The sequence below is a fragment of the Homo sapiens genome, chromosome 14 (assembly GCF_000001405.40).
Source record: "Homo sapiens chromosome 14, GRCh38.p14 Primary Assembly".
Taxonomy (NCBI): Eukaryota; Metazoa; Chordata; class Mammalia; order Primates; family Hominidae; genus Homo; species Homo sapiens.
This window is the reverse complement of record NC_000014.9, coordinates 22761926-22784174: the sequence shown is the minus strand read 5'-3', so window position 1 is coordinate 22784174 and position 22249 is coordinate 22761926. Positions and strand designations below refer to the sequence as shown.

The 22249-nt window shown below is 45.7% G+C and overlaps 2 protein-coding genes and 1 long non-coding RNA gene across 9 annotated transcripts in view, besides 5 other annotated features; 2 read left to right on the top strand and 1 right to left on the bottom strand.

Moving 5' to 3' along the window:
* The window catches only part of SLC7A7 (solute carrier family 7 member 7), a 46570-nt gene extending 35617 nt beyond the window's left edge, over positions 1-10953 (top strand). For 4 of the 5 annotated variants that reach the window (XM_011537299.2, NM_001126106.4, NM_001126105.3 and 1 more), the window contains 8 exons: positions 4124-4249; positions 5238-5382; positions 7857-7980; positions 8239-8342; positions 8635-8731; positions 9672-9821; positions 10059-10242; positions 10459-10953. In XM_011537299.2, coding sequence (XP_011535601.1) covers positions 4124-4249; positions 5238-5382; positions 7857-7980; positions 8239-8342; positions 8635-8731; positions 9672-9821; positions 10059-10242; positions 10459-10565 — 1037 coding nt within the window. In that variant the 3' untranslated portion in view covers positions 10566-10953. Of the gene's footprint in view, positions 1-3698; positions 3870-4123; positions 4250-5237; positions 5383-7856; positions 7981-8238; positions 8343-8634; positions 8732-9671; positions 9822-10058; positions 10243-10458 lie in introns of those variants that run through there. The other variant, XM_047431879.1, reaches the window with a different exon arrangement.
* Positions 568-738: a silencer, noted in NCBI's record as "fragment chr14:23252646-23252816 (GRCh37/hg19 assembly coordinates)". NCBI's record gives its function as "represses an EF-1alpha promoter that drives an FKBP-Casp9 reporter gene in an ReSE screen in phorbol 12-myristate 13-acetate-treated (for megakaryocytic differentiation) K562 erythroleukemia cells {active_cell/tissue: K562(+PMA)}" and the evidence as "EXISTENCE:reporter gene assay evidence [ECO:0000049][PMID:32094911]".
* OXA1L (OXA1L mitochondrial inner membrane insertase) lies at positions 11133-17487 on the bottom strand. The gene is made up of 10 exons (NM_005015.5): positions 17411-17487; positions 16766-16927; positions 16004-16217; positions 14241-14384; positions 13897-13982; positions 13550-13714; positions 13266-13370; positions 12995-13157; positions 12827-12907; positions 11133-12741 (listed from the first exon to the last, which is right to left on the bottom strand). Exons 1-10 carry the CDS (start codon positions 17471-17473, stop codon positions 12617-12619), a joined length of 1308 nt encoding a protein of 435 aa, NP_005006.4. The 5' UTR covers positions 17474-17487; the 3' UTR covers positions 11133-12616.
* Positions 17202-17765: an enhancer, noted in NCBI's record as "H3K27ac-H3K4me1 hESC enhancer chr14:23235619-23236182 (GRCh37/hg19 assembly coordinates)". NCBI's record gives its function as "activates a minimal SCP1, AML or CMV promoter by ChIP-STARR-seq in primed H9 embryonic stem cells {active_cell/tissue: H9 hESC(primed)}" and the evidence as "EXISTENCE:reporter gene assay evidence [ECO:0000049][PMID:30033119]".
* Positions 17379-17608: an enhancer, noted in NCBI's record as "active region_8139". NCBI's record gives its function as "activates an Ori minimal core promoter by ATAC-STARR-seq in GM12878 lymphoblastoid cells {active_cell/tissue: GM12878}" and the evidence as "EXISTENCE:reporter gene assay evidence [ECO:0000049][PMID:35858748]".
* Positions 17613-22249, top strand: part of OXA1L-DT (OXA1L divergent transcript) — a 62343-nt gene continuing 57706 nt past the window's right edge. The window contains exons 1-2 of one of the 3 annotated variants that reach the window (XR_007064072.1): positions 17613-17751; positions 19522-19902. This is a non-coding gene — a long non-coding RNA (OXA1L divergent transcript). Of the gene's footprint in view, positions 17752-19517; positions 19903-22249 lie in introns of those variants that run through there. The other 2 variants (XR_007064071.1, XR_001750638.3) reach the window with 2 other exon arrangements.
* Positions 17766-18328: an enhancer, noted in NCBI's record as "H3K27ac-H3K4me1 hESC enhancer chr14:23235056-23235618 (GRCh37/hg19 assembly coordinates)". NCBI's record gives its function as "activates a minimal SCP1, AML or CMV promoter by ChIP-STARR-seq in primed H9 embryonic stem cells {active_cell/tissue: H9 hESC(primed)}" and the evidence as "EXISTENCE:reporter gene assay evidence [ECO:0000049][PMID:30033119]".
* Positions 18329-18892: an enhancer, noted in NCBI's record as "NANOG-H3K27ac-H3K4me1 hESC enhancer chr14:23234492-23235055 (GRCh37/hg19 assembly coordinates)". NCBI's record gives its function as "activates a minimal SCP1, AML or CMV promoter by ChIP-STARR-seq in primed H9 embryonic stem cells {active_cell/tissue: H9 hESC(primed)}" and the evidence as "EXISTENCE:reporter gene assay evidence [ECO:0000049][PMID:30033119]".

The window sequence follows — 22249 nt, the reverse complement described above, 5'->3', positions numbered from 1 at the left end:
ATCTCTGCCCTTGAGGTTAACTTGCAGTTGCCTCCATATTATCCTAACCCCATGGTCCCCTCCTGTCCTTGGCCCTGAAGCAGGAGGTTGGGCTCCACTTCAAGAGCAGTGCACTTAGCTGGGCTCTGGGGCCAGTGGTCAGCTGTATCCGCTGAGGTGGGGACAAAAAGCCCTGTCAGCACTGCTGCCTGCCATACCCATTTCCTGCTCCCACAGTCAAGAGGCCCTGGAGGAAGCTAGGCTTTGAGGAAGAGGAGGGCTAGCTCTCTTCAGGCAGTTCCCTCTGCTCCCTGGTTTCTTTCTGTAGGATTCCCTTCCTCATTCAAACTGAGCCTTCTGTGCTCAGTACAGAGAGCAGATCAGGGCTAGAAGGTGGGTCAGAGAAATCAGGCTCAGGAGTGGGGGAGGTGGGATACTGGTGGACAAAGAGAGGGATACAAATGGATGGATAGAGAAGTAGAGAAGAGACTGGGCACGCCACGCCGGTGACTCACACCTGTAATCCCAGCACTTTGGGAGGCTGAGGCAGGCGGATCACCTGAGGTCAGGAGTTTGAGACTAGTCTGGCTAACATGGCGAAACCCTGTCTCTACTAAAAATACAAAAATTAGCTGGGCATGGTGTTGAATGTCTGTAATTCTAGCTACTCGGGAGGCTGAGGCAGGAGAACCGCTTGAACCCAGGAGGCGGAGGTTGCAGTGAGCTGAGATCGCACCACTGTACTCCAGCCTGGGGGACGGAGCAAGACTGTCTCGAAAAAAAAAAAAAAAGAAGTAGAGAAGCAATAGGGATTAAAATGTAAACAAGCCACCCAGGTGCCATGGCTCTTCCCTATAATCCCAGTTACTCCTCAGATAGCTGAGGTGGAAGGATTGCCTGAGGCCAGGAGTTCGAGACCAGCCTGGGCCACATAGCAAGACCCCGTCTCTAAAAAAATTAAAACAGCCAGGCACGGTGGCTCACACCTGTAATCCCAGCACTTTGGGAGGCTGAGGAGGGCAGATCACAAGGTCAGGAGTTCGAGACCAGCCTGACCAACATGGTGAAACCCTGTCTCTACTAAAAATACAAAAATTAGCCAGGTGTGGTGGTGGGCACTTGTAGTCCTAGCTACTCAAGAGGCTGAGGCAGGAGAACTGCTTGAACCCTGGAGGCAGAGGTTGCAGTGAGCTGAGATCGCACCACTGCACTCCAGGCTGGGTGACAGCAAGACTCCATCTCAAAAAAAAAAAAAATTAAAACAAATTAGCTGGGCATGGTGGTGCACACCTTTGATCCCAGCTACTAGGGTGGCTGAGCTGGGAGGATCCCTTGAGCTCAGGAGTTCGATGCTGCAGTGAGCTATGATTTCTCCACTGTACTCTGGCTTGGGTGAAAGAGTGAGATCCCCATCTCCAAAAAAAAAACAAAAAGGGACGGGTGTGGTGGCTCACGCCTGTAATCTCAGCATTTTGGGAGGCCGAGGTGGGCGGATCACCTGAGCTCAGGAGTTCGAGATTAGCCTGGCCAGTATGGTGAAACCCCATCTCTACTAAAAATACAAAAATTAGCCAGGCATGGTGGCACACACCTGTAGTCCCAGCTACTCGGGAGGCTGAGGCAGGAGAATTGCTTGAACCTGGGAAGTGGGGGTTGCAGTGAGCCAAGATCATGCCATTGCACTTCAGCCTGGGTGACAGAGCAAGACTGTGTCTCAAAAAATAAATAAAATAAATAAATAAATAAATAAATAAGTCAATAAATAAGTAAATAAAAAAAAATAATAAAATATAGGCCGGGCGCGGTGGCTCATGCTTGTAATCCCAGCACTTTGGGAGGCTGAGGTGGGTGGATCACCTCAGGTCAGGAGTTTGCGACAAGCCTGGCCAACATGGTGAAACCTCATCTCTACTAAAAATATAAAAATTAGCTGGGCATAGTGGCGCACACCTGTAATCCCAGCTACTTGGGAGGTTGAGGCAGGAGAATGGCTTGAACCCGGGAGGCAGATGTTGCCATGAGCCGAGACCACGCCATTGCACTCCAGCCTGGGCAACAAGGGTGAAACTCTGTCTCAAAAAGAAAAAGAAAAATAAATAAAATAAAATATAAACAAGCCATGTATTTCCATTTCAGAATCTGCTGTGGTAGCAGGTGGTGAATTGGTTGCTTATCCCTCCTTTTCCCTGCCTACATCCCTGGACAGAACTGAGAAGAACCTTGTGGCACACAGCTCAGACTCTGAGTCTGAACTAGAGCTAGTCCTGTAAGCTTATTCCAGTTTGGTGTTATGACTCATGGTTACCCTGCAGGGAATCATAAATTTGTATTTGGGGATCCCATTTTCCTGACAATGTGGCAGCATCCTTTGTGTCTGGTGTTTCTACTTGGAAACCTGGCTATGTTGTGGTTATGAGCCAGCCGCAGAGCCTAGGATAAGGGCAGAGGTTACAAGCTGGGGAGAAGGGGCACTAAGCTGTTGAGTGGCTGGAGGCTGGAGTCCAGTGGGGAGTAAAGGATGGGTGACTGGCTGAGGAGGAGTGACAGATTTGAAAGATTTGTGGAGGGCAAGATACAGCCACTTTGGTCATTTTGTGGGGTGCTGCACACTTGTGTCTTAAATTATTAACTTAGCACTGGGGTGGCCTGGAGCTGTGGGTACATTTTTGCCCAGCCCTGTGATAAGGTTTGTTGTTTATTAGGCAGAAAGGCAAGCATTTATATAGGACAGGAATGTGCCTTCTCAGGAAGAGCAGAAAGGAACTTGGGCAGTCAGTAGAATGAGGGTGGTGGTGGAAGGGAGGGTGAGAGAGAGAAGATGGGGCAGCTGTTCTGAGAGGCCAGACTTCCCTGCTTCTCAGGATGAAGTAGCCAGAATGTGGTGAGGCCAGGACACCACAAAATAGGAGGACTAGCGACACCAAGGCCACACCACTGCCAGGAGAACTCAGAGGGTGTTTCTGACTGTGTTGGTGGCCTGAAGTAGGCAAGAACTGTACTAGGCCTCATTCTCTTGACTGGTAAGGCAGGGTGATGTTGACCTTGCCCTTGGAGCCCTTGGGAGAAGGGCTTTAAAGTTAAGCCCTCCTTATAGTGTTCCAGTTGCTGAGCTGGGAAGGAGGGAGCAATGAAGCGATTCGCTATGCTACCAGTGGGAAGATCTGTATTTTTTTTTCCAACTTTCTTCTCGGCCACATTCTGGGGCTACTGGTCAACCTCACAGCATGCGTGAGCCTCCCTTGTTGAACTTCTTCAAGTAATTCAAATTCAAGTCGTAGATTGTAACTTTTTTGTTGGGGGAGGGATAATGGACTTGAGATTCTGATAAAAGCTATGATCCCTTTCTAAGAAAAGATATGAAACTTTTTCTTAGGTATGTCTGTATTCATATGGACATAACACTTTGAAAGAGAATTTCGAGCCTCATGGAGGCCCTAGTTAAGAACCCTGATAAAAGGTACTTTTAAAACCTGTACTTCTGAGTAGAAGGACTGGGGGAATGTGTGTGGCTCTTACTTCTCTATTGTCCCATCAGGAAAAATGCCCTGTCCCCATTCTACAGGAACCACTCTTAGCTGCAAGAATCTTTCCAAGCACAAAAGCAGGCAGCTGAGCTGCCAGGCAGTGGGCAGGAAGTCTGGCCTTCATCCTAATCCTTGGCCACACAGCCTGACCTGCTGGCTCAGCATTGGATAAGTCACAGCAGAACTCCTCAAGGTTAACAGTAATACCACAGAGTCAGAGTGCTGTGTCCTGGAGCCCATGGGGAATGGGAGGTAGGAGGGAGAGACCATGACTTTTCAGAGCCAAGAGCCGGAACAATCACTAATCCTGTACAGTTCCCAGTTGCCTCCCACTGCTGTGATTGGACATTTGGATGTATTTTTTATGTAAGCAGATCTGCAGTCACTTTGTTTTGTGTCTCCCATATAAGGTGCTGGGGGTGGGGAGTATAGAGGCCTTTGTATGATAATGGTGAGGACATTCTGGGGCCCCGAGGGTTCCAGTGCAGAGCAGGTCAGAGGGTCTGTCTTTGGCTGAAGGGTATATATATCTTGGTGACTGGTACTGGAAAAATTGCTTGGGAGTCTAAGGCCCTAGGGTGGTAAGGGTAAGTCACCAATCAGTATTATTTTTCTTTCAGGTCTCTTAACCTTCATTAACTGTGCCTATGTCAAATGGGGAACCCTGGTACAAGATATTTTCACCTATGCTAAAGTATTGGCACTGATCGCGGTCATCGTTGCAGGCATTGTTAGACTTGGCCAGGGTAAGAAATAATATTAGTAGCAACTAATCTTTTTTAAGCATTTTCTGTGAGCCGCACTCCTCTAAGTGCTCTTTGTGCATTATCTCATTTCTTACTATAACCTTATTCGGTGGGCACTATTATTATTCTCATTTTATGGATGAGGAAACAGCCTGCAGAATTAAGTACCTTGGGCCGGGCGCAGTGGCTCGTGCTTGTAATCCCAGCACTTTGGGAGGCCATCGCGGGTGGATCCATGAGGTCAGGAGTTCAAGATCAGCCTGGCCAAGATGGTGAAACCCCATCTCGACTAAAAATACAAAAATTAGCCGGGCATGGTGGCAGGCGCCTGTAATCCCAGCTACTCGGGAGGCTGAGGCAGGAGAATCGCTTGAATCCAGGAGGCGGTGGTTGCAGTGAGCTGAGATCACGCCACTGCACTCCAGCCTGGGCGACAGAGCGAGACTCTGTCCCCCCCCCAAAAAAAAAAAAGAATTAAATATCTTGCCCAAGTTGCTACCGGTAAGTAGAGGAGTTGAAATTTGTATCCAGGACAACTGACCCAAAAGTCTGTCCTTTAACTTCCATGCACGCTGCCTCCCAGAGGAGGCTGATCTTGGCAAAGGGTTGACAGCCATGCCCTGGGAGCTGCCTTTGGCAGATTGTGATAGGAGGCAGGAATCAGGCAGCCTGCAGAGCAGAACAGAACTGCATTGTTTCTATTCTCCAGCTTTTCTGCTCTATGGTGGTTTCTTATCCTAGAAAGCTACCCTGGACCCTTCCTGTCAAGATCCCCATCTATGTCATTAGGATGCAGGGCATTCTGGTCTATCTCTATAGACGTCTCTCTTCTGTTTCCTGTTCCCTTACTGGTACTCTTGCTGCCAAAGGTGTTGTAGGCCACTTACCTGCTATTATATTACCATATTCTGTCAGTCCTTTACTTGACCATCTTGAAGTGGGAGAATGAGCCACTAATCCCCTGCCTTCCAATGTTCTTGGGTTCCAGGAGCCTCTACTCATTTTGAGAATTCCTTTGAGGGTTCATCATTTGCAGTGGGTGACATTGCCCTGGCACTGTACTCAGCTCTGTTCTCCTACTCAGGCTGGGACACCCTCAACTATGTCACTGAAGAGATCAAGAATCCTGAGAGGTAGGTACTGCACCACCAACTTTCCATAGCAGTGATAGCCATCATTTAATGAGCTCCTACTACGTGCCAGACAGCATACCACAACCACTATGAGGTTAATTTTACCAGCCTCATTTTAATAGATGGGAGGCCTGAGGCTCAGAGAAGTAACTTGTCTATGATCACAGTAACAGGGCTAAAATATGAACTTACTCATGTATGCTTTGTAAATTTTTAAAGGCATTTTTACATTTGTTCATTAATTTCTGCATTAATTAAAGCAGGTTGTATTATATGCTTATGTATGTTTTTAAAACAGATTTTCCTTGATAGATATTTTATCCACCCTTATCCCCACATACATAGCTTTGGGATATAGACTTCCAGAAACCTTCCTGTGTTTCCCTCTGATACCTTCCTTGTTTCCTAAATTCATACTGACATTGTGGTATAGTTTCAGTCATTCAATTAAGTCACCCTACCATTATTGCTCTGTAGTCTATATATAGAGTGAAAAGAGAACTGGACAGGAAGTCAAGGACCTAGAGTTGATCTTTCCACTGACTTGTTGGCTAACCTTGAGGGAGTTGCCCGGCCATCTCTTTGCCTGTTTCCTTATCTGTAATTGAGGGGGTTAAATTCTGTGATCTCCATGGCCTTTCCTGGCTCTAAAATTCTATGATTCTGGGAACTAAGATTTGCCAGGGAGTGGAGTTTCGGTAAAATGTTTTTTGTTTTTTGGAGAGAGTCTTGCTGTATTTCCCAGGCTGGAGTGCAATGGCGTGATCTTGGCTCATTGCAACCTCTGCCTCCCAGGTTCAAGTGATTCTCCTGCTTCAGCCTCCCAAATAGCTAGAATTACAGGTGCCTGCCACCACGCCTGGCTAATTTTTGTATTTTTAGTAGAGACATGGGTTTCACCATGTTGGCCAGGCTGGTCTCGAACTCCTGACCTCAGGTGATCCGCCCGCCTTAGCCTCCCAAAGTGCTGGGATTACAGGCATGAGCCACTGTGCCCAGCTTTCTGTAAATGCTTAAGTGAAAAGAATCACAATTCTTATACCAATAAACTCCTTTTGGCTTGAGAAACAGAAGAGCACTCTTGGTACACAACTAGTGGTAACGCTATGGGAACAGAGATAACAGAAGCAGGATCAAGGCCTGGGTGGTACTTCCACCTACCGGACAGAAACTGCATGACTCTATTTGCAGAGTATTTGCCCCACTTTGTGCTTTTTTTTTGGCAGCCTTACTGTTAAGGATGCTTATAAAGATCATGGCTTTATTGGGCTACAGGGACCTTGAGAGCTCTTTGCATCTTTCTTTTGCCCACCAGTTAGGATGGCTCCTGAGGTTCTCAAACTGAGGAAGGGGTGGGCAGACATATCTTCCAGGCTGCTAGTCAGATACATACACTTCTCTTCCTACTGAAGGCCTATCTTATTCTCTGAAGATGTTAAATTTCACAATTTGCCTCCATAATTTCTTTTTATATTTCTCAACCTTGAGGCAAAATTGCCAATGTTGATAATCTTAGAGATGGAATCCTGACACCAAAAGATCTTTGGGGTATAAAACAAAACAACCTCCCATTTTCCTGTGCGTTATGATGCTGGGGACAGTCTTTGTTAATCCCCCCCGCCCTGCTTTTTTTTTTTTTTTTTTTTTTTTAGACAGGGTCTGGCTGCCTTGCCCAGGCTGGAGTGCAGTGGCCCAGTCATGGTTCACTGCAGCCTTGACCTCCCCAGGCTCAAGTGATCCTCCCACCTCAGCCTCCCAAATAGCTGGGATTACAGGCATGCACCACCACGCTTGGCTAATTTTTTTTTTTTTGGTTTGTTTTTGGAGACAGAGTCTCGCTCTGTCGCCCATGCTGGAGTGCAGTGGCACAATTTTGGCTTACCACAACCTCCGCCTCTCGAGTTCAAGTGATTCTCGTACCTCAGCCTCCTGAGTAGCTGGGACTACAGGTGCATGCCACCATGCCTGGCTAATTATTTATATTTTTAGTAGGAACAGGGTTTTGCCATGTTGGCCAGGCTGGTCTTGAACTCCTGACCTCAGGTGATCCACCCGGCTCGGCCTCCCAAAGTGCTGGGATTACAGGCGTGAGCCACCACGCCCAGCTGCTTGGCTAGTTTTTTGTAGAGACAGGGTTTTGCCATGTTGCCCAGGCTGGTCTCCAACTCCTAGACTCGAGCCATCTCCCTGCCTCAGCCTCCCAAAGTGTTAGTACTACAGGCATGAGCCACTGCTCCCAGCTGCACAGTCCTGTCTCCTAATATGATATTCCTTTCCCCTAATGTTCTTTAGTTCTTAAGTGTTCAGAGCTTCAGCCACTATCCAGGGCACCGTCAAAGACAAATGCATTGAGGAAATGTAGCAACAGTCTCCATCCCTGGAAAGACCGGTGTGGCAGGGAGAGTCTAAGGATTAAAGGAGAGATAGGGATATGACTGTGGGACTAATGTGCATTTTATTCTATTTGGCTGTAGGAACCTGCCCCTCTCCATTGGCATCTCCATGCCCATTGTCACCATCATCTATATCTTGACCAATGTGGCCTATTATACTGTGCTAGACATGAGAGACATCTTGGCCAGTGATGCTGTTGCTGTGGTAAAGGATTTTCACTAGCAGAAGGTTGAGGGTGTCTTGTGGGGTACTGGGTATATTCTGGCTCTTGAAAGTCCTGGAAAGGGGGTAGACAGCCTTGAAAGGAGTTCATTTAGAATACCGGGCTTGCAAGAAGGTCCTGTTAACCCCACTGTGGAAGAAAGGTTGGAATACCTAATAAGGGGAATCTGGGGGCATGCCCATCCATGTCTTTCATCCCTTTTAGATCCTGCTAATGACTCTTCCATTCTTTTCCCTTAGACTTTTGCAGATCAGATATTTGGAATATTTAACTGGATAATTCCACTGTCAGTTGCATTATCCTGTTTTGGTGGCCTCAATGCCTCCATTGTGGCTGCTTCTAGGTAAGAGTGGCAACTTTTGTGAGGGGTGTATCATCAAAGGGCTATGCAGTGGACAGAACTTACAGGACCCAGCCTTTGATTACTTGTGTTCTCCAACCGATACCACAACCTCTTTCTTCTTGTTTCTAGCAGAAGCCTGCAGTTGTCATTAATCTTAATACTGAGCTCCAGTCCATATTATCCAAATACTTTTGAAGGAAGGGATGGCAGAGAGGGAGGGCCATGTGGCAGGTGAACCAGGCTGCACCGTGTCCACCAATTTTCTCAGCTTCTCCTATCTTACCTAACATAGGCTTTTCTTTGTGGGCTCAAGAGAAGGCCATCTCCCTGATGCCATCTGCATGATCCATGTTGAGCGGTTCACACCAGTGCCTTCTCTGCTCTTCAATGTAAGTGAACTCAAGGATGAGACTGAAAGCCAGATTGCGGGGGAAACTTTAGTAACAGCAGAAGCGACTGTTCTAGCTTCCTGAAAGCTCTGAAAGATTCCAATAGAAAAACTATTGGTGGATCAGAATGTTCACCACGGGCAAGGCACTATGCTAACCGCTACAGGGGAAATCCAAATGCTCTAAGGAATGGTACACCTCTGCTCTAAGATAAGGCAAAAAGTACATGGAATACACTGTAATGATTGATTGCCATGACAGATAGTGAGTGATACGGTGTTTAAGAGAAGAAACGATCACTTCCATGGGAGTAGAGGGTGAAGAATTACATCTAGAAGTGTGTGTGTGTGTCTTAAAATCCACCAAAGTGTTCTCAGAAAAAAAAAGTGCATCTTGATGGCTAGGGTTGCAAATGGTAGAGATGGGCTTTAGGTAGGAGAAATAGCATCAGAAAATCCTGTGATAAAGCAGTATGGGTTTTAATACAGGTTGAGTATCCCTAATCTGAATATCCAAAATCTGAAATGCTCTAAAAATCTGAAACTTTTTGAGTGCTGACTTGACACTCAAAGGAAATGCTCATTGGAGCATTTTGGATTTTCAGAACAGGGATACTCAACATGTAGGAGGAGATAAGAGCGGGTTATTGTAGGTTGGAGCCATTATGGAAAGGGTCCTATGCAAGACTTTTGAGGGATTGTTTCGAGCTTGCTTTATACAGGGTTAACTTGAAGAATGGGTTGAAAAGCCAGTTGAGACTACTGACTTATAAGAGAGGGGATAAGGTACTGAAACTAGGGTGTTAAAGGGATTAAAACCAGAAGAGGACCAGGAGACTTTGAGGATTGACAGGGGATGGATTTCTGGGGTATAAAGGGAGTGAAAAGCCTTTGGATTAACAAAGGCCCTGAGAAGAGCTGACTTAGGCTCACGCTTACAGGGTATCATGGCATTGATCTACTTGTGCGTGGAAGACATCTTCCAGCTCATTAACTACTACAGCTTCAGCTACTGGTTCTTTGTGGGGCTTTCTATTGTGGGTCAGCTTTATCTGCGCTGGAAGGAGCCTGATCGACCTCGTCCCCTCAAGGTAAGGCAACTCCATCCTACCTCTGCTCCACCTGAAACAGCTGGAGTTGTTGCTACAAGGGACTATGACAAAGCACTTTATTTAGAAACCTTTGCCTGGGACTTGGTCGTTAGTAATGTGTTGAAATTAAAGGTATGGAAAGAAGGCTCAGTGCGCTAATCCTTATGGGAGGTGGGGTTATTTTAGCTGTTAAGAATCCTGAGTTGTCCACTCCAGTTATGTTTCCTGTGCCCTTAGCTCAGCGTTTTCTTCCCGATTGTCTTCTGCCTCTGCACCATCTTCCTGGTGGCTGTTCCACTTTACAGTGATACTATCAACTCCCTCATCGGCATTGCCATTGCCCTCTCAGGCCTGCCCTTTTACTTCCTCATCATCAGAGTGCCAGAACATAAGCGACCGCTTTACCTCCGAAGGATCGTGGGTAAGCCGTGCATCCTTAAGTCCGCTCAGCTATTGCAGAGCTTGGTTTTTGCCTTTTTCTGTAAATCCAGCCTCCAAAGACATCTTTGCCTTAGCCCCTTCTTATGAACCCTTCGGCTTAGTGGAATCACTCCCCTCACACTGAGTTCCATTCAGTGACACTTGAACTCAGCCCAGCTGACCTCTTCTCAATTCCAACTCAAAGTTCTCTTTGTAGGGTCTGCCACAAGGTACCTCCAGGTCCTGTGTATGTCAGTTGCTGCAGAAATGGATTTGGAAGATGGAGGAGAGATGCCCAAGCAACGGGATCCCAAATCTAACTAAACACCATCTGGAATCCTGATGTGGAAAGCAGGGGTTTCTGGTCTACTGGCTAGAGCTAAGGAAGTTGAAAAGGAAAGCTCACTTCTTTGGAGGCACCTGTCCAGAAGCCTGGCCTAGGCAGCTTCAACCTTTGAACTTACTTTTTGAAATGAAAAGTAATTTATTTGTTTTGCTACATACTGTTCCAGACTTTTAAAGGGGACAATGAAGGTGACTGTGGGGAGGAGCATGTCAGGTTTGGGCTTGGTTGTTTTAGAAGCACCTGGGTGTGCCTACCTACTCCTCTTTTCTTTTAAAAGGGCCCACAATGCTCCAATTTCCTGTCTCCTTTAGAGAGACATGAAACTATCACAGGTGCTGGATGACAATAAAAGTTTATGTTCCTAAAGTCTGAGTGGCTTCATTTTATATAGTATCTATCTCTAGGACAGCTCCCATTAGCCTAGAAACACAAAGACTAAAATCAATCTTATGCTTGAAAGTATATCCATCTTTTCTCTCTCAAGCTAGCTGCTGAAGGCTGATAAACCAGGCTCTACACAAAGGCAGACAACAGAACACTTAAACTGCTCTAGTCAAATGTTGGATTGTTACATAAAAATGACATGAACTTCCTTTTTGAGACAGGATCTTGCTCTGTAGCCAAGGCTGGAGTATAGCAGCATGATCTTGGATCACTGCAGCCTCAACCTCCTGGGCTTAAGCTATCCTCCCACCTCAGCCTCCCAGGTAGCTGGGACTATGGACAAGCACCACCATGCTCAGCTAACTTTTTAGCAGAGACAAGGTCTCGCCATGTTGCCCAGGCTGGTCTCAAATTCCTGGACTCAAGTGATCTACCCACCTCAGCCTCCCAAAGTGCTGAGATTATAGGTGTGAGCCACTTTGCCCAGCCTGGAACTTTCATTCTTAATTATCACTAAGAATTTGCACACATCTACTTCTTGAAATTTTTAAAGTAATCTTGGGATCAAGAAGTGCGGTTACTATATTTAGATACAATCTCAACATTCAACTTATCAGCCACACCTCTAGACTGCAATCCAAATGTGCATAGAACAACACATGCATGGGTTGGAAGTTTAAACTGTTTTTTTTTTTTTTTTTTTTTTTTTTTTTTTGAGAAGGAGTCTCACTCTCTTGCCCAGGCTGGAGTGCAGTGGCGCAATCTCGGCTCACTGCAAGCTCTGCCTCCTGGGTTCACGCCATTCTCCTGCCTCAGCCTCCCAAGTAGCTGGGAATACAGGCACCCGCCGCCATGCCCGGCTAATTTTTTTTTTTTTTTTTTTAGTAGAGACGGGGTTTCACCATGTTGGCCAGGATGGTCTCGATCTGCTGACTTCGTGATCCGCCCGCCTTGGCCTCCCAAAAGTGCTGGGATTACTGGCGTGAGCCACTGCGCCTGGGTGGAAGTTTAAACCCTTAATGCCAGGTTAAAACATTATATTTTCCAAGGCCATGGGCCAGCAAAAGCAATCATGACTCACTCTATTCTTCAGTTTTCTTTTTTTTTTGAGACAGTCTCCCTCTATTGCCCAGGCTGGAGTGCGGTGGTGCGATCTTGGCTCACTGCAACCTCCGCCTCTCGGATTCAAGCAATTCTCCTGCCTCAGCCTCCCGAGTAGCTGGGACTACAGGTGTGCACCACCACGTGTGGCTATTTTTGTAAAACAGCAGAGATGGCGTTTCCCCATGTTGGCCAGGCTGGTCTCAAACTCCTGATCTCAGGTGATCCACCCACCTCGGCCTCCCAAAATGCTGGGTATTCTTCAGTTTTCTGAAGTGCACACTGATTTCCCTGTTCAATAAGTATCAGGAAGCAGCATGTAGTACAGAGGTTTACTAACTCTGTGAATGGGAAGATCACTTGGCTACCCAGTGCTCTCTTATAAACATAAGTACAAGAGTGTTTCATGAAATCCGTTTTTAAAATGAACATCTCTGTGTGCCACAGTTCCTAGGACTGGGGCAAGGACACAGTGTCAAGTCTTGTTTTGAGGATGAGTCTCTGAAGAGACAGAATTCCTGCCAGAATGCGCACAGAACATAAGTCAGCCAAGTGTGTCGTGCCAGGGATACTTTGACTTTGGTTTGCTGCTGCTGCTAGGGATATTGGGAGGGTTATCCTTTCCAGGTTGTAGGAGAGGGTTGTGGGTAAAGGTCTGTCGTAAAGGACCTGAGGGGAGAAGAGAAAACAAATTTCAACGAAGAACAGAAAGGAAGAAACAAAAGACAGAATTTGGCCTGAAAGGACTATTTACCCCTGGCTGCTAGCTCCAACTGATTCCGCATGCGTTGTTCACGCTCTCGCAGCTGACGCGTCATTTCAGCATTTTTCCAGCCTGTGTAAAGAGAAGCAAGAGAGTCAGTTGCATTCCTATTTTTAGACCCCTTTCCCTAGTCCTTTTTCACAGAGGATGAGCCCTTACCTTTTTTGAAGCTCTCTAGGAAGCCTTCCCGTGGAGGTAATTTGTCCAGGTCATGTACAACACGCTGGGGGATTTTAAGTACAGTGCGTACTGCTGGAATCCGGAGACAGGATACTTGGACCAGGGAAAACAAATTGGAGGAGAGCCAGTACATAAACACTGCCTGGGTGAGAACACAGAGAAGGGACTCAGAAGCTGTATCCCTGGTCAGCTTGCTAGGTGGCTAGGCTAGGCAGAAGGCCTTGGAGCCAGCCCATAAGGCATTACATACCGTGGGGAAATGCATGGTTATGGGCAAGGTTATCAGGGGCATCATTCTGATGACATTTCTCATCCACTGAAGGTCAGAACTTTGCACACCTGTCTCAGCACCTAGCTGCCAAAAGAAGTGGGGTGGAAAAGTCGGGAAAGCTGTCAGTTTCAGTGAATCTGTCTCTAATCTCTTACCCATCAACTCTTTCTCCAGCAAGTGAAGGATGACCATTCTGTACAACTACTTTACCCTCCAACCCCAGTTCACTTTGCAGGCCTGGCACTTGGCCAATCTGGGCTTACCTCAAGAACAGCCCACATTGTAGCAGTGACTGCCAGTGGTAATATGTAGATGGGATCGGATACCGTGAGATCCTGGAACCACCAGAGGCCACCTGTCTGCAGGCTGGGCACAGGAAGGTTGGCCATCTCTCTCAAAGCAATGAAGAAGGAGATGAAGATTGGGGCCTATTACACAAGATAAACAGTGTCAGCATGCTTTACCAGAGAGAACATTTTCATCACCCCACTACTGAAAGCCATGTATAATCCACCACCACCTGTTTTTTGGGGGACCTGGGACACATGAAACACAGAGAGGAAATTTCATGGGTACTGGATGAAATAAGGAAGGAAATGTTTTTGCTCACCTGAGTCACAGGGAGAATGAGAGGTTTATAGAGTTTAATACCATGTTTTTTCTGGTAAAGTGCCATCTCCGAGGAAGCCTTGTAATCTGTGAGGTGAGGGGAAATTAATGGTTGGGGTAACAGTTACATCAGTGGAGGTGAACATCCTCATTATCTACCTGGCCTGTGAAATTTCTAACCAACCCTGGCCACTCCTTGGGAGCATTAGGTCTAAGAAACAGATAAACCTTTAGAACTTTCCCGACTGTGGCAACTTCTGATTTACATTGTTCCTTTCCCCCAGCAGAATGTAAGGAAAAGTGCAAATGTGGACTTCTCCCACGCTCATTCTGCAACTGACTCACACTCAATATGGTCTCCTGCTAACTTGGCCTCTCTGATTCGACTGGAAAACTTCTGGATCTCTGGCAAGTGATTGTGGATCCTGGCTGCCTCTCGCTGGCCCGTCACGATGAGAGGAAAAATCAGGCAGCGGGCAAAGACTGTACCTGGAAAATACAAACTAGGATTGGAGTGAAATTAAAGCAGTTCTGCAGCTAGAAGGTTGAAGGCTTTTAGGTCCTTACTGAAAGGGTCTTATTCTTGCCTTGTCCATTCTATGACTCATGCCTAAGAGGCCCAGAAATAAGGTCAGGGGAATGAATTAGTTGCTTTAAGGCTCAGTTCTCTAATTTGGCATCACAAAAGTATGGCATTAACTTCTCTAAGCAGATGATTAGGAATCCTGTTTGTTTCCTCAAACAAAAAGCTGACAGGAGTGGATTTAGCAATTATGTTACTGGCAGTTCGAATGAGGTGATATGAGTAAAAGCCAGACGGCTGAGGGAGTAAATGGAAAGAAGTAGGCTAATTGGATGCAGAGCAGTCTTTTAAGTAACAGCTATCAAAAGAATGAAACCCAGTCATCTGTGACAACGTGGATGGAACTGGAGATCACTATGTTAAGTGAAATAAGGCAAGCACAGAAAGACGAACATCGCCATGTTCTCACTTATTTGTGAGATCTAAAAATCAAAACAAATGAAATCATGGGCAGAGAGTAGAAGGAAGGTACCAGAGGCTGGGAAGGGTAGTCAGGGTTGGGAATAGTTAATGGGTAAAAAAAAGTTAGAATAAGATCTACTATTGATTGCACAACAGGGTGACTATAGTCAGTAATAATAGCATATTTTTAAATAAAGAACGTAAAAATTAGCCAGGTGTGGTGGCACACCTGTAGTCCCAGCTACTTGAGAGGCTGAGACATGAGAATCGCTAGAACCTGGGAGGTGGAGGTTGCAGTGAGCTGAGACTGCACCACTGCACTCCAGCCTGGGTGACAGAGCAAGACTCCGTTTAAAAAAATAAATAAAATAAAAAATAAAATAAAAGTGTAATTGGATTGTTTGTAACTTAAAGGATAAATGCTTAAGGGGATGGATATCTCATTCTCCATAATGTGATTATTACACCTTGCATGCCTCTATCAAAACATCTCATGTAGCCCATAAATATATACACCTACTAGGTATCCACAAAAATTAACAACAACAAAATAAATAACAGCCATCAAAGGAAGAAGATAGGATAGTAAGTGAAGGGGAACTAAGGATGAAGGGAAGAAACCTTCCCCCAGGTAACACATGGGTGTGCCTGAGCATGTTTACATGTTCGGGGTAGGGCAGTGAGGAGGGAAATGCTGAAGACACAGGGGAGAAAAGATAATTGATGGAGCAACGTGGCAGAAAGACACATAATTCAAAGCAGAGTTCTAGCCTTTACAAAAGCAATGCTAGTGGCTTCCCAATTTAGGGGTTTAAGTGCCTGACCTGAACCTCTGTTCTAAACCAGGATAGCTTCATGACTGTTAATAAGGTCCCCTGACTCTAACCCCATGTTTGTATTCAAATATCTACACTTCTTGAATCCCAGATGATCTGGTGGTTTTATAATGCTCTTTAAGAAATATAGGCAGAGTGCATCTAGGTATCATGAACCTCTATTGCTCATTTGAAATCATCTGCTCTTCTGACCCCAGAGCTTCTGCAACTACTTCCTGAATCCATTCAAAGAATTGCCATCTATGAGGTTAAATCCCTAACCCATGTCCAGGGTATATTCCCCTTACATGCAGCAATGGCCCCCCACCAAGGTAGGCCCAGATCAACATGCATAAATTCCAGTAAATTCTGGATCAGTCCCACTGGGGTGTATGACCCCAGCCCCAGTTCAGCGAAGCTCTGCTCTGCAGCAGTTTGGACTACATCTGCAGTCTCTCCAGAAGCCACCTCAGGTACTGCTGTGGGTGAGGGAGTTGCAGCAACAACAGGAGGGGCCTGAACCTGTGTGAAAGAAAGCCTTGTATTATATTTATTCAGTAGCGAACACAAAGCAAGTGAGATCTTTTTATAATAACCAGTACTGGGTTCTGTTCTCTCTACTTCTTGTTCTTCCAGGTTAGCCTAGTGTCTGCAGATTTCAAGCTTAAAAAGGACATCTCATTTTTATCAATAGTTAGGAAGAGAAGTTACTTTGAGTAAGAATCCATGACTTCCCTTCATGCTGGGAAGTTATTTCTTTTATCACTGTTTTCCAAACTTCAGCCATTTGAATATCACTATCATGATTTTTGCCATATATTAACATGAAACAATTGCTTTTCTTTAAAACAGCTCAGAAAACCAAATATAACATCTCTCCTGTTGTACTTTCAATCATTTCCCCACTGAATTGAAAATCCATCCTAAGCAGAGATGCTATCATTTTGGAGAGCTGTGTGGAGCGTGGACAAGAACTCTGCTCCATATTCCCCCTGCTCCCAAACAAAACAAAATATGAAACCAACCAGGAAACACCACTCCTAATATTGCAGGAACGAAAGGCCTCTTACCTGGACTTCTGCAAAAGAGATAGCAGAGGTACTGAGGCTGCGGGGGCCGGAAGCCGCAAGGAAGAGGTAGTGTGGGCGACAGCAGCACGGGGCTGCTGGGAATAGGAGCCGTGTGGTCAGCGGTTTCCCAAGCCATTGCGAGGGCCCTGCGACGCTGTGGACCTGAGCGTGTAAAAGGATGATGGAGCCCCTTTACCGGGAGCAGAAGTCCTCGCGTGGGTGCAAACGGGATTCATTATGCTAACTCCCCAAGAAGCAGGCAGCTCGGCCACTACAGGGGAGGACATTGCTATCACCGCGCGCAGACCGCTAGCCCGAAGGCATGCAGCGGGTGGTGCCTGCAGAGCGAAGCTCGAACCTGGGTTCCCCGCATCTCAGTTATCGCAGACCCACATCGGAGGGCCCTGAGAACGAGGCCGAGGTGCTCTCGCCAGGAGCCAAGCCAATTCCAGAAGCTGACACCGGGCTGCTGGGCCCATAGTGTCGGGGACTAACCCTAGCGCGTCCTCACATGACCCGAGGTCATGACATTCAGGTCCCGGTGAGCAGGTCAGCGTCTGCTGATACCCCTAGCACGAGCTGTCCTGGGGCCTGGTTCACTGGGTCAGGGCAGCATCCCGGTGCTCTGCCCCGGGGCATCCTTACCCGACGCCCGGACTGTAGCAAGCGCAGAAGCTCCCGGCGTCCGCACATTAGTCCCATCGCCATTTTGCCCGGAAGAGGACTTGCTTTTGCGCCTGCGCAGTAAGAACCACAACCCCTCGAGAGGAAGCACTTTTGGAGGCGGGCATGAAGCCAGAATTGTAGCCGCAGATCAGGCGGTAAAAGAGAACGGAGCTTGGCGGCCATATTTGAAGTGGGTAAAAATCTGTAAAGCCACGTTACCATTAGCACGCAGAGAGCCTTTTCTGGAGATTGAAAGGAAGTTGAAGAGCTGGGTTAGCTATCATCGTAAGCTATCATCGTTAGTGATGGCGTAAACCTGGGTAATTTTCCTCTAATGTCGCGATTGTCCTCTGATTTGTAAGTTTAAAAATAGCCTCAGAAAAGGCTTGGCTGTACTTGCAGAGGATTTTTCCCACTCAATGATGTTCGATTCTTTTGATTCTTATTGCTAGGTAATATTGTAATCGCAGGTCCAGTGAAATTTGAGGGTAGTCTAGAGTCTGACAGAAATTAAAAGAAGGCAGCTTCTGGGAAATATTTTCCTCCCAGATAAAAAGACGAAGCTTCCAGAGGAGACTTCACCTTTCCATTTTTTTCTTCTGTAAGTGGGGTGGTGTGAGGACTGACCATGAGGGGACAAGTTTCCAGATGAAAAGCTCACGTGCAGGCCGGGCGCGGTGGCTCAGGTCTGTAATCCCAGTACTTTGGGAGGCCGAGGTGGGTGGATCACGAGATCAGGAGGTCGAGACCATCCTGGCCAACATGGTGAAACCCCATTTCTACTAAAAATACAAAAATTAGCCGGGCGTGGTGGTGGGCGCCTGTAATCCCAGCTACTCGGGAGGCTGAGGCAGGAGAATCACTTGAACCCGGGATGCAGAGGTTGCAGTGAGCCGGGATTGTGCCACTGCACTCCAGCCTGGGCAACAAGAGCGAGACTCCGTCTCAAAAAAAAAAAAAAAAAGGAAAGAAAAACTCACGTGCTGAAGATGGTTGAGGGCAAAGATAGAAAACACCCAAATACTTGATGATATCATTGAGCTGCTGTACCATGCTTGGAACTGCCTATCTCCAGACTTTGTTGTGTAAGTTAATTAAAGGTCTTGGCCGGGTGCAGTGGCTCATACCTGTAATCTCATCACTTTGGGAGGCTGAGGTGGTCTCGATAACTAGGTCAAGAGATCGAGACCAGCCTGGCCAACATGGTGAAATCCTGTCTCTACTAAAAATACAAAAAACAAAAAAACAAAATAACTAGGCGGGCGTGGTGGTGCATACCTGTAGTCCCAGCTACTAGGGAGGCTGAGGCAGGAGAATCGCTTGAATCCGGGAGGTGGAGGTTGCAGTGAGCCGAGGTGGAGCCACCTCACTCTAGCCTGGGCGACAGACTCCATCTCAAAAAAAAAAAAAAAAAGATGATTAAAGGTCTTTACTGTTTAGACTCTAAGTCTGTTGCTTGGGTGTTCTGTTTCTTGAAGTTAAAAGCATTCATCTTCAGGGAAAAAAGTTACTGGTCAGAAAGGTGGAGTTTGATTATGTTTGAACCCTTACAAAGTCTCTCAATATGCAGATTACTTTCTAAACAACAAATTATAGTTTCAGAAAGATACAATAACCTGAAATTATTTCAGTGACTGCTCATTTGGAACGATTATGAATGTACCTGACAGATATGGCGAAAATAGGAGGCAAAGAACTATAATACTGATTTAGTAATAATTAGTGGTATGAGCTAACACTTGCATATGTTGGATGCTATTATAAACATCAATAGATTTTTGATATGGAAACACTGATTTTTTTTTAGAGATTACTTTTAAAACTCAATACAATTAGAAGTAATTACAAATATACAGCTACAGAACACTTGGCAGGGTGACTATCTTACAGTACACTGCTACTTTGGTGGCCCCAAATGAACCAGGCTTCCCAATATTTGCACCTTTAGGAGTTCTCTTCTCTTGAGTCTGATTGGGCCTGTCACTTGCTTTAATCAATAGTAGAATGCGTTGGAAGTGATGTTATGCCAGTTTGGGACTATGCCTTAAGAAGGCCTGATAGCTTCTGTTTTTGCATTCGGGGGAAGCCAGCTGCTGTGTTAGAAGTTTGACTTCTCAGACTTACTGCCTGTGAAAAGCCCAACCAACCATGTGAAGAAGAACTGAGGTTTGGGCCAACAGCCTCAGTTGAACTCCCAGCCAGCAGTCAACACCAACTTTTGCCAGCCACGTGAAGAAGGCCATTTAAAAAGTGGATTCTCCAGCCCACTGGAGCCACCTCAGGTGACTGCGTGTGGAGCAAAGAAAGGCTATTTGAGCCCACATTGCAAAATTACAAGCAAATAAATAAAATTATTGTAGTTTTAAGCCACTAAGTTGTTTAATAATAGATAGCTAAAATGTACAGGCAAACTTGGAAGATACTGTGGGTTGGGTTCCAGACCACTACAATAAAGCCAATATCATAATAAAGTGAGTCACAGGGATTTTTTTGTTTTGCAGTGCATATAAAAGTTATGTTGGGCCGGCATGGTGGCTCAGGCCTGTAATCTCAGCACTTTGGGAGGCTGAGGCAGGTGGATCGCTTGAGCTCAGGAGTTTGAGACCAACCTTGGTAACATGGTAAGACCCCATCTCTTAAAAAAAAAAATACTAGGCCGGGTGTGGTGGCTCATGCCTGTAATCCTAGCACTTTGGGAGGCCGAGGTGGGTGGATCACTTGAGGTCAGGAGTTTGAGACCAGCCTGGCCAACATGGTGAAACCCGTCTCTATTAAAAATACAAAAATTAGCCAAGCGTGGTGGTGGGCACCTGTAATCCCAGCTACTTGGGAGGTTGAAACAGGAGAATTGCTTGAACCTGGGAGGTGGAGGTTGCAGTGAGCCGAGATCATGCCATTGCACTCCAGCCTGGGCAACAAGAGTGAAACTCCATCTCAAAAAAAAAAAAAGAAAAAGTTATGTTTACACTATACTGTAGTCTCTTAAGTGTGCAATAACATGTTTAAAAAACAATGTACATACCTTAATTTGAAAATATTATATCGCTTAAAAATGTTGATGATCATCTGAGCCTTCAGCAAGTCATATTTTTACTGGTGGAGGGTCTTGCCTTGATGTTTGTTGACTATCAAGGTGGTGGTTGCTGAAGGTTGGGGTGGCATAAAATAAGACAATGAAGTTTGCTGCATCAATTGACTATGCTTTTCATGAAAGATTTCTCTATAGCATGTGATGCTGTTTGAAAGGATTTTACCCACGGTAGAACTTCTTTCAAAATTGGAGTTAGTCCTCTCAAACCCTGCTGCTGCTTTGTCAATTAAGTTTATATGATATTTTAAATCTTTTGTTGTCATTTCAACAATGTTCATAGCAACTTCACCATGAGTAGATGTCATCTCAAAAAACCACTTTGTCTAGAAGAAGCAACTCCTCATCTCTTAAAGTTTTATCATGAGATTGTAGCAATTCAGTCACATCTTCAGACTCCACTTCCAATTCTAGTTCTCTTGCTGTTTCTACCACATCTGCAGTTACATCCCTCCATAAAGTCTTAGACTCCTCAACATCAACCATGAGGGTTGGAATCAACTTCTTCTAAACTCCAGTTAATGTTGATATTTTCACCTCCTCCCATGAATCACAAATGCTCTTAATGGCATCTAGGAGGGTGAATCCTTTCCAAAAGGTTTTCAATTGACTTTGCCCAGATCCATCATAGGAATTGCTATCTATGGCCGCCATAACTTTACAAAATATATTTCTTAAATAATAGACTTGAAAGTCAAAAGTACTTCTTGATCCACAGGCTAAGGAAAAGATTTTGTGTTAGCAGGCATGAAAACAACATTAATCTCCTTGTACATCTCGATCAGAGCTATAGGGTGACAAGGTGCACTATCAATGGTCAGTAATTTTTTTTTTAATGGAGACTGAGTCTTGCTGTGTTGCCTAGACTGGTCTCGAACTCCTGGCCTCAAGTGATTTTCCTGCCTTGGCCTCCTTAAATGTTGGGGTTACAGGCATGAGCCACTGTGCCCAGCCTGCAATAATATTTTGATAGGAATCTTTTTTTCTGAGGGGTAGGTATCAATAATGAGCTTAACATATTCAGCAAACTGTAGGGTAAACAGATATGCTGTCATCCAGGCTTTGTTGTTCCCTTTATAGAACACAGGCAGAGTAGATTTCGCATAATTTTTTTTTTAAGAGACAAGATCTCTCTCCGTTGCCCAGACTGGAGTGCAGTGGTGTGATCATGGCTCACTGTAGCCTTGATCTCCCAGGTTCAAGTGATCTTCCTGCCTCAGGCTCCTGAGTAGCTGAGACTACAGGTGCAACTAATTTTTGTGGGTTTTTTTGTAGAGATAAAGTTTTGCCATGTTGCCCAGGCTGGTCTCAAACTCCTGGGCTCCAGTGATCTACACAGCTACCTTGGTGTGTCCCAAAGTGTTGGGGGTTATAGGTGTGAGCCAGCATGCCTGTCCTGACAGTTTTTTTTTTTTTTAAAGCACTTTAAATGTATTATCCCACTGCGTTCTGGCATCCAGGGTTTCTGCTGAGAAAATGGCCAGTAGTCTTTTTTTTTTTCTTTTCCCTCAGAGTGATTGGACTTCAGCTGATAGTGTTATTGAGGATCACTTGTACATTATGAGTTGCTTCTCTCTTGCTGCTGTCAAGATTCTCTGTCTTTCAACAGTTTGATTATAATGTGTCTCAGTGTGAGTCTCTTTGGATTTATTTTACTTGGAGTTTATTGAGATTCTTGGATTTGTAGATTAGTGCCTTTCATCAAATTTGGGAAGTTTGCAGCCATTTCT

Bases quoted from the DNA above. Each gene is read 5' to 3' on its own strand.
- OXA1L (NM_005015.5), bottom strand. From the start codon at position 17,473: ATGGCGATGGGACTAATGTGCGGACGCCGGGAGCTTCTGCGCTTGCTA. The intron at 13,715-13,896 runs GTGAGCAAAAAC...CTTGTGTAATAG, and splicing joins TCATTCTCCCTGTGACTCAG to GCCCCAATCTTCATCTCCTT. The intron at 13,158-13,265 runs GTATGTAATGCC...GTTCTCACCCAG, and splicing joins TAACCATGCATTTCCCCACG to GCAGTGTTTATGTACTGGCT.